Genomic DNA, 10548 nt, shown 5'->3' on the forward strand with positions numbered 1-10548 from the left:
GGAGACCTAGGGAGGAGCCGGTGCTACCGCCACTTAAGTCAGAGGTTCGTGGATCTGGAGCTTTGGGGAAGAGCCCGTGCTGCTATTTAGCTGTGGGGAGGATCTGGTGTGTCAATTGAAGTTTGAGGGTTTGGGAGCTGGAGATCCAGGAGGGAGCCTATGATGCCATTCTATTTTGAGGGTCATGTATGTGGAGACCTGGGGAGAGGCCGGTACTGCTGTTGTAGTTTGAGGGTTGTGGAAGTGGAGACAAAGGTAGGAGGCGGTGCTGCTGCTGTTCATTTCTGAGGATTGTAGAGCTGGAGGTCCACGGAGGAACCAGTGTTGCTGTTCTAGTCTGAGGGTAGTGAAGCTGGAGACCCAAGGAGGAGCTGGTACTATTGTTCATGTGTGAGGATTGTGGAGCTGGAGAACCAGAGAGGAGCCGGTGCTGCTGATCTAGTTTGAGGGCCGTGGAGCTGGAGATCCCGGGAAGAGCCAGTGCTGCCGTTCAAATCTGTGGGTCTTGGAGTTGGAGTGCTGGGGTGACCCGGTTCTTTCATTCATGTCTTAGAGTCATGGAGCTGGAAACCCAGGGAGGCGGCGGTGCTGCTGTTCTAGTTTAAGGATAGTGAAGCTGGAGACCTGGACAGGAGCTGGTGCTACCACTGTTCAAATCTGAGGGTCATGGAGCTGGAGCCTTGGGGAGGTGCCGGTGCTGCCTCTCAAGTCTGTGAGTTGTTGAGCTGGAGATTCAGGGAGGAGCCAGTGTTGCTGTTGTTGTTGGAGGATTGTGGAGCTGGAGGCTGAAGAGGAGCTGGTGTTGCAGTTCAAGTTTGATGGTCGTGGAGCTGGAGACCTGGGGAGGAGCTGGTGCTACCACCGTGTAAGTTGAGGGTTGTGGAGCTGGTGGCCCCAGGGAAGAGCCAGTGCTATAGTTGAAGTTTGAGGGAGCTGGAGACCCAGGGAGTAGCTGGTGCTGCTGTTCTAGTTTGAGGTTTGTGGAGCTGGAGCCTTGGTTGGGAGCCAGTGCCACCTCCCAAGTCTGAGAGTCATTGAGCTGGAGATCCACGGGGGAGCTGGTGCTGCTGTTGTAGTTTGAGGATCATGGAGCTGGAGACCCAGGTGGAGCTGGTGCTGCAGTTGGAGTTTGAGGGTCAGGGAGCTGGAGATCTGGGGAGGAGCCAGTGCTGCTGTTTAAGTCTGAGGGTCGGGGAGCTAAACATGGAGCCAAAGTTGGGGAAGTAGAGAGAGTTACAGGATGACCCTGGAAACGGTGATGTAGCTGTAGCCCAAGCAAGCTAAGCTTGGGAACTTCTCAATGCTAGTGATGAGTGCATTCTTTTTCCTCTTATACAGTTTGGATTTCTTTTCTGTCTCATAAGACAGAAAGTTCCTGATTAATACCCTTAGGAATTGAAAAGCTTAAAAAAACTAAAGGATGTTGGTAATAATAATAATAGGAATTAAACCATGATTATCCTGGCTGACAGAGACAAAATCACACACACACAATATATATCTTTCAATCAGTTAGTAAAATAAAAAATAAATGGAAAAATAGACCCAAGCAAAGCTATAAAAAGTTGTTTCATGGAGAAGCAATGGAGGACGGAGATTAATCTGAGAGTTGCTATTAATGGAGAAACTGAGAACTTACGATTTTTCCCGTGAGGTTTTGGTGTAGAATGATATTGTGTGAGTTCTGGCAGCTGAGTCACTTCACACAGCCCGGTGATGCAGTAGGTGTCACAGAATGACCCTCTCCCAGTTGGTCCTGCCTCTCTGCTACGATGAGTGCGGCCTCTGATCCCCAACAGCTGAATGTGTCTTGAGACCAGGCCCATGAGCACAAGGGTTTCCATGGTGAAGGTTCCTGGATGGAACACTGTGGATGTTCCTAATGTTCTTTCCTGATGTTCATCTGCCATCTTGCTATTTAATGCAATGTCTTCTAAATATTGAATAGAAAAAAAGCATTTGTACAGTATGGGCAAAGTATAAAGAATATCCACACACTGGACACACAGACAGGGAGGGGCACCCACAACAAACTCCTTTTGCCTGGGAGCAGGTGTTGTCCTTGAGTCCTGTGTCGCCTGTTTCTTCCTCCGCCTTGGCCTACAGGCCCGATGTGATCTAACCTCTGCCTGACTCTCCGACTCCATCTCCCCTCCCACTCCTGTTCTTTCTAACAATTATGTTACAGCCTCAGTGAACGTGACAAGGACCCTGAACTTAGTAAAGACAGTGGCTTTACTAAGACAGAGGTTCATTCCTTTCACATGAAAGTCCAAGCCAGTCGGGTGATTCTTCTTTGTGCATTTTTCAGGGTCTTAGGCTACTTCCATCTTGCTGCTCTGACTTTCTTAGGGTGTAGCTTCCCCCACAGTGTCCATCCTATCTACTGCCAGTGAGCAGGGAGGGGAGAAGAGAATATGAGGACACAAATCTTCCTTCCTCTAAAGGCAGTTGCTGTGCACTGGCCTCATGTGCATTGGCCACTGCCTGGTCATGTGGCCACTCCTTGCTGCAAAGGATGCTGGGAAGTTTTCATCCTGGATGCCAGTGCCCACCTGGGTGACTTCTGAAGTTGAGGGGGGAGGGGACACGAAAGAGAGTCACTGGCTCTTCCCACTGTCATGCACATTGCTCCAGTCTAGGGTGACCCACTGCCTCAGCTTGCTCAGGACTGAGGGGGCTGGTGGGGCACAGACCTTTCAGTTTTATAACAGGGGCAGTTCCAGGCAAATCATCCCAGCTTGGCTGAGACTCAGAAGTTTCCTGGGACGTGGGATTTCTAGTGTTAAAACCGGGAAAGTTCTGGGCAAACCTGGACAAGTTGGTGCCTGCCATGGGGCCTTTGCATCTACTGTTACCCCTGTCCGGGATTCCCTTTCTGCAACTCTGTGCGGTGCTCACTCCTCTTCTGTTGAGGAAAGGCTGCTCTCTGGGTGCCCCCCGGGTGCCTGGTCTGCTGTACTCAGCACTACATGCTTTGTGAAAATCCCTCCATGCTCTTCATAGAATGAGATCTGTTCTTTCCACCCTTCCCTGACCACTTCAGTTTCAAAGTCTCTAAGGATTATTAATTTTTATTCTCTTCACCATTGAAAGACACATCTCTTTCCCTAAGGCTGTGGCTGTGTTCATGCATAGTCAGATAAATCTGATATTAATAATAACCTGAACGAAAAACATGTATTAAATCCCAAGATTATGATGTAGGAAGCAGGGATTCTGAAGAGATGTGTAAGCCTAATAAAGGCCAAAGGGTGTGGATTAAAAGGAAATGTGGGGTGGAGAAACATTTCATGAAATAGAACCCCACCTCTTGGGTGAGTTCATTGGTACAACGTTTCTAGAGGGCAATTTGGCAACTGGCCAATGAAAGTGCATAACTTTTGGTCCCAAATTTCATTAATAGGCATTTATCCCTAGGAAATAGTCAGAAAAATATGCAAAGATGAATCTCTAAGGATTTTTATAAGAAGAAAGGAGTAGGAAGCATAAATGCCCGCTGGTGGTCCTGCACCCTGGCACCAGTGCTCCCCTCTCCTAGTGGGTGGGCACACCCTACATTTTCCCAGGCTTCCTTGCAGTGAGTTGTGGCCAGGTGACCAGGTTCTGGCCAATGGGAGGTAATAAAATTGTTGGGTGGTATTTTTGGAGACCCCCTTCTGTAACTTCTGTCTTGATATGGTTTGGATGTTGGTCCCCTCCACATTTCATGTTGAAATGTGATCCCTGATGTTGGAGGTGGGGCGTGGTGGGAGGTGTTTTGGTGATGTGGGCAGATCCCTCTCACAATGGCTTGGTGCTGTCCCGATGGCAATGACTGAGTTCTTGCTCTGAGTTTATGGGAGATCTGGTTGTTTAAAGGGCCTGACACATCCTCCTCCTTCTCTTGCTCTTTCTCTCGCCATATGATGTATCTGCTTCCCTTTCACCTTCTGCCATGATTGGAAGCTTCCTGAGGCCTCCCCAGGAGCAGATGCTGGTGCCATGCCTGTACAGCCTGCAGAACTGTGAGCCAATTAAACCTCTTTTCTATAAATAACCCAGCCTCAGGAATTCCTTTATAGCAATGCAGATGGACTGACACATATCTTTAGTGTCATTTCTTAGTTGTTCCATCCTTTGACATGCTTCCTGGAATAAGCATATGATGGTTGGAGCTATTCTTGTCATCTTGAACCTTGATTCTACCCTGCGGATAGCAGAATGTCCTCTGGAAGGAAATGAAAGTCCCTAATGCCACCCCAGACTGACAACCTCCGGTTTTGTTTTTACTTTTTTATTTTTTGAGACAGAGTCTTGCCCTGTTGCCCAGGCTGGAGTACAATGGCATGATCTCAGCTCATTGCAACTTCTGCTTCCTGGGTTCAAGTGATTCTCATGCCTCAGCCTCCCGAGTAGCTGGGATTACTGATGCGTGCCACCATATTCAGTTATTTTTTTATTTTTAGTAGAGATAGGGTTTAACCACGTTGAGCAGGCTAGTCTCAAACTCATGACCTCAAGTGAAACACTCGCCTTAGCCTCCCAAAGTGCTGGGATTACAGGCGTGAGCCACTGTGCCCGGCCCAGTCTTGGTTTTTATGAGATAAACTTCTGTCTTGGCTGAAGTTACATCACTGATAGGTGATATAACTGTAATTGAATAAAAAGCAGGAAATTCATGTAATACTTATATCTACATATGCACATACCAAAACTAATAGTGATCTGTTGTTATCTATATGTAAATATGGACACAAAATATTGTTTAGTGTAAACAAAGCTCTTTTTTTTTTTTTTTGAGACAGAGTCTCACTCTGTTGCCCAGGCTGGAGTGCAATGGTGAGATCTCGGCTCACTTCAACCTCCGCCTCCTGGGTTCAAACAATTCTCCTGCCTCAGCCTTCCAAGTAGCTGAGATTACAGGTGCATGCACCACACCCAGCTAATTTTCATATTTTTAGTAGAGCTGGGGTTTCCCCATGTTGTCCAAGCTGGTCTCAAACTCCTGACCTTCAGTGATCCTCCTGTCTTGGACTGCCAAAGTGCTGTGATTACAGGCATGAGCCACTGCACCTGGCCCATAAAGCTTTATTCTGTTTTAATGAAGCAAAAATGCATAAGTGTGTGTGATCATATGTGTGTGTATTGTCTAATAGGAGCACTACATAGCAAAATGCGAATGCTGCTTATCTTTGGTGTTGGAATCACTTGTGATTTAAAATCTTGTTTTCTTCTATTTTTAAAAACTTTCAAAATGAGTTGTGACTTTGATTATTAGAAAAAAAATCTATAATAATTGAGAGGAAAGAAAACCCCACCTGCTGTTGAAACTGACTGGAGCTGGGAGAAATGAGAGATTCCTTTGAAAGTGTCACCTCCCTACCAGAAAAGTGGCCTTGCAGGACTGTCCTACAAGCCAGATGTGCCTCTTTCCCTTGGTCCCTGTACCTGGTGTGAGGTCACACAGACAGTGAGCATCCTTCACAGAGTCTGACCTGCCAAGGTCGGGGGGATGTGGGGGTCTAGTGACATTCAGAACCCGGGGGAGCCGAACAGGTGTGACTGTGCGTTTGCAGGATGACCTCTCCCCTCAAAGAGCAAGAAATAACTCTAGTGCAATTTCCAAACATTTACAAGAGAGGATTTTTAAACTTTTCACTTCTTTATTCCAACTAGCACATTTGGAAGCATAAAATGCACAAAGAAGACCTGCTATTTACAATCGCTTTCACTAAGCCAGTGTTATATTCAAAAATGGCAGATAAAGCTCATGGCTTTGATGAAAGGGGCAGTCTTTTCATTGGCAACAATTAATACTGCTCCCCGTTCTGGGGAGAATTTAAAGAAAATAATTTGGAGGAGATATGGGTTGGCATGACACAAACAAATGATTTCAGATCACAAATGTAATCATTTGATCTTGCTTTACCAAACATTTCAGAACAATTTGGCATCACATTCTCTTCTGAGTCTGTGAAACTGAATTCTGGGAGAGTCTGAATTCTCAAGGCAGGACTGAGGATAGAAAAGATTTGATGGCAGAACCCTGGTACTGTGGTTGTCACATGGGTTAAAGACGTAGGCTTGGTTAACCCACCGAACCTGCTTATGTATGAGGCTCACCTGAGAAGGTGATATTGACAAGCCCATCCTATGGGTCTGAGGGCTCTTCACCAGGAGTGGAGCAAGGAGGATGGCCCCAGTGTCCCCATCTCTGAACACATTTAGGGGGAGGGCTGTAGAGCCTGGACAGATCACCACTGGCTCCATGGGGAAATTTCAGCAGCACTCATTGCCTGTGTCTGTTCTGTGCCAGGTGCTGTGCTCAGGGCGGGGATTTGGGATTCACCAGGGCACAAGGCGACGTGCCTCTCTCCTCACGGACCCTAAGCGCTGGTGGACAATGCAGATGTCAACCGCAAATGATGAGGCACTTGCAGGTAGCGTTCAGCACCAAGAAGGAAATGAAGGGTGCGTGTCGCTGACTGTGACTCTGGTGGGGGCAACTTAAATAGGGCCATGGGGGAGGGCCTCTCTGAGGAGGTGACATTTGAGCTGAGGCCTCACCAGTCAGAAGGAAAAAGCTGTAAAGGGTCTGGGATAAACTCAACCTGCAGACTTTTAAAATAATATAAGGTGTTACAGCTCTTTCAGAATTTGTCTAGTATGTTTTCCGGTTTTCACTCCCAGGTAGGCTCGGGAAGAGGCATCTGTGCCCAGCTCGTGGCCTGTTCTTTGCACTTGCGGTGGAGATCCTCTTCTCCCACAGCTGTCCCCCCGGGGCCTGCTCCCAGGTGGGGTCTGGTTTTCACCAGAAAGCCCTCCATGAAAAAAAAAAAAAACACAATTGAATTTGAATTAGTTGCCAACATTTACAGTTTAATTCTAAAAATATGTATTTTCGACTTCGTTGGAAAGTCACACTATCTGACCAGGCCGGGCTGCGATCTGGTGGATTTCAGTATTTCGGTTTCTGGTTAGGGAGGGTATTTGGGGTTTGCCCCTGCAGCATCTGTCCCAGTGTGGAGCGGGAGTGGGGGCCCAGGCTTAGTGGGGAGAACTGCAGTGGCCGAGGGTCTTGGCTGTCTCCAGACAGCCGGATGGACCCTGCCATCTCCTGCTTGGGGTGGGCTGGGGTTCTTTGCTGCCCTCCTCACAGCCCACAGCCTCCTGAATTCCACTGAGACCACCGCCATGTGAGGCTGGGAAGGGAAACCTGCCTTTGTAAGTGAAAGCAGTTGAAGCCGGGCTGGAATGTGTCAGTCAGAAACTAAAAGGCCCTATCACAAGCATGGCCAGGAAGACTGTCACCATTGTGGCATGCAAATGACAGAGATGTGTGGGACAACGTCTACCAAGAGACAAGCCAGGTGAGGGCAGGTTGTCGTGAAGGAAGGAGGGGTCCTCCCCACAGCAGCAGCGCCATCCTGCAGAGAAACGGCCCCTGGAGATGGATGCGTTCCAAGGAGGCCCTGTGCTGTGCCTAGTGGGTGGCTCGAGGCCTGAATGCCAGGCACTCAGAGCGGTCAGTGTCCCCATGGGAGCAGGGGTGCTCTCAGCTAGGTGATTGGGGTCCTTGGATGGTCAGCCCCTGTGTGTATGCGAGGGGGTGGCCCTCTGCTCTGTCCCTTCTGAAGGCAGCCATAAGGGCTGGGATCTGGTGGATTTTGGTATTTCAGTTTCTGGTTAGGGAGGGTATTTGGGGTTTGCCCCTCCAGCATCTGTCCCAGTGTGGAGTGGGGAGCAGCCATAAGGGAAGGAGGCCAAAGCGCTCAGCATCAGATAAGCCTGGATGCAGTTCCTACTTCCTGCCAGGCCAGTGCCTCTGAGCCTCAGTTTCCTCATCTGTATAGTGGGGTTAATCCCAACCATGTATACTGCCTGCCTGCCATGTGCCAGGCCCTTCTTACACATCTTTGATTGCTTGAGGGCAGGGACTTTATTATCCTCCTTTAGAGTTGAGAAAGAAGAGGCACAGAAAGGTTAAACCACTTACCTGGGGTCACACAGCTACTATTGCAGAGTAAAGTCTCCAGACTCAAATGGAGCACTAAGCCCCGCCCTGGGCACCAACAGGTGTTCCAGGAATGTCCGGTGCCATTTATCACCTTCATCACCTGCTGGGAGTGCTCATCCCATCATGCAAACCCCGTGAGCGTGAAGTGAAGGGACACGTGCAGGATCGAGTGTGCTGGCGGGTAACGTCAGTAAAGTAATAACCACAGGATGATATTCATAACCCATATTAGTGCTACCAACAGCCACATCTGCCTGCTTCTCTGGGCCCAGGATTGTCTGCAAGCTCCCAGGAGCTGGTCCTGACTGGGTCAGAAGAAAGGTCTGAGGTTATGGAAGGAGCAGCTTGCCCAGCTTGTGGCCTGTTTTGTACATTGGAAGTCCCTGTCCCCCACAGCTGTGCCCCAGGGCCTGCTCCCAGGTGGGCTTGGGAGACCCCAGAGCTGCATGGCTTTAGGCCAGGGTTCTGCTGGGTGCTGTGTGTCTGTGGGAGTGATGCACCCCCGCAAACCTCTCGCCCTGCCAGCTGCTGGACACACAGCAGCTACAGGGCATGAACTCTGAGACCAGGACCACTGTTGGTCCTGGGAGGCAGAAGTTGCAGTGAACCAAGATTGCACCACTGCACTCCAGCCTGGGTGACAAAGTGAGATTCTGTCTCAAAAAAAAAAAGAAACAGACATTTATATGAGACAGTCTGTAGAGGTTTGAAATGCAACATGATCCATCATGCAGATTTTTATAGAGAATTAATTGTTTCAGTTCAGTGTGAAGGGAATTAAACTCCTCTCTTCACTAGAATTTTCCAAACTGTTAAGGGGACATATGTAATTGTCACCTGCATCACATGTAATCAGGGGCCCATATGAAGAAGTGAAACGTTCTTTTCTTACATGATTGCTTTTGGTGAATTGAGCAGTTTTGTATTCATCATTCAAAATGCACAGGCCAGGGGAATGCCCAATACTTCCAGCTGCCTACCCTCCCACTCCAACTAACGTAAGCAGGCAAGCAATGGCTGTTGATAAAGACACAATGGTCATCATCACATTTCAGGGTTTGTGTGTGTGTGTGTGTGTGTGTGTATTTGTTTGTTTGTTTTGAGACGAAGTCTCACTCTGTTGCCCAGGCTGGAGCGCAGTGGCATGATCTCAGCTCACTGCAACCTCAGCCTCCCAGGTTCAAGCAATTATCATGCCTCAGTCTCCCTGAGTAGCTGGGATTACAGGCACCCGCCACCACACCCAGCTAATTTTTGTAATTTTAGTAGTGATGGGGTTTTTCTATGTTGGCCAGGCTGGTCTTCAACTCCTGGCCTCAAGTGATCTGCCCACCTCGGCCTCTCAAAGTGCTGGGATTGCAGGTGTGAGCCACCACATCCAGCCAACATTTCAGGGATGTTTGTTTGTTTGTCTTTAAGACAGGGTCTCTCTCTGTTGCCCAGGCTGAATGCAGTGGTGTGATCATGGCCCACTGCAGCCTCAACCTCCCGGGCTCAAGCAATCCTCTTGCCTCGCTCTCCTGAGTAGCTGTGAATACAGGTGCATGCCACCATGCCTGGCTAGTTTTTGTATTTTTTGTAGAGATAGGGCCTTGCCATATTGCCCGGGCTGGTCTCAAACTCCTGGGCTCAAGCAATCCGCCCACCTCGGCCTCCCAAAGTGTTGGAATTACAGACATTTCAGTTTTTTAAAAAATCAAAAAAACATGACTAGATACAATCAGGATTTCAGTAGAAGTAGAAAATACGGGAATGTCAGAGAGCAAATAAGTGCAGAGAGAACAGGGGCTGAGAAGAGGAATGTGGGAAGACGGGAAGCGCTGGGCGGAGATGAGGATAGGGACGGGCTGGGGATGAGGTCTGGAGTGCAGGCTACAGTCAGGAAACCGAAAGCTGCCCAAAGCATTAAGATTGCCTAAGCCAGAAGCACATGAAGCAGTTTTCAAGAGAATAAGGAGCAAAAGATCATTAAACTCACTTACCAGGAGAGACAAGAGATGGTGGCAGTAATTTAATGAGAGAGGCCTTGACACTACAAAAAAATCTAAATTCATTCTTTGCCCAACTGTTCATAAGGGAACAGGGGGAAGTGGTTGCCTTCAGAAACCATAATACATTTTTCTTACTGAGGCAAAATTTACAGAGAGGAAGAGATGGGAAAAAGAAGCAACCGAGGTGATGGGAAATGGAGCTGATTTATTCTTGATGTTGGAGCGGCAGTTTCTCTAACACAGATAAACTTTAAAAACCAGCTCAGACCCGTCCCTTGAGCCCTCACTGGTCCCTCTCCACAGGTCCCAGCCCGTTCAGAGTTTTCAAGGAAGCAGCTCCCAGGCTACTGTCACCTTCGTGGGACCTGTGAGCCCCTCATCACCCAAGCTGGCAGAATCCCTCCAACTCATGGCTCCGTGAAACCTGAGTGCCTGCCTCCGCTGACCGATTCCCTGGGTGGATTTTCTTCTGGTGGTCAGAAAAATACATCAGTCTTTTCCAGATGTCTGGCATTACATTCTGTCATTTGGAATACAGTTGATTCTTGAACAATGTGG

At 48.5% G+C, this 10548-nt stretch overlaps 1 long non-coding RNA gene and 1 pseudogene across 1 annotated transcript; one reads left to right on the forward strand and one right to left on the reverse strand.

Moving 5' to 3' along the window:
• Window positions 1–784: 784 nt before the first annotated feature.
• On the reverse strand, window positions 785–1790 carry LOC105375297 (uncharacterized). Its single transcript, NR_136269.1, has 2 exons — window positions 1640–1790; window positions 785–1197 (listed from the first exon to the last, which is right to left on the reverse strand). It is a non-coding gene; the product is annotated as an uncharacterized LOC105375297 (long non-coding RNA).
• RNU7-157P (RNA, U7 small nuclear 157 pseudogene) lies at window positions 6617–6682 on the forward strand (annotated as a pseudogene).

This window comes from Homo sapiens, chromosome 7 (assembly GCF_000001405.40).
Source record: "Homo sapiens chromosome 7, GRCh38.p14 Primary Assembly".
Taxonomy (NCBI): domain Eukaryota; kingdom Metazoa; phylum Chordata; class Mammalia; order Primates; family Hominidae; genus Homo; species Homo sapiens.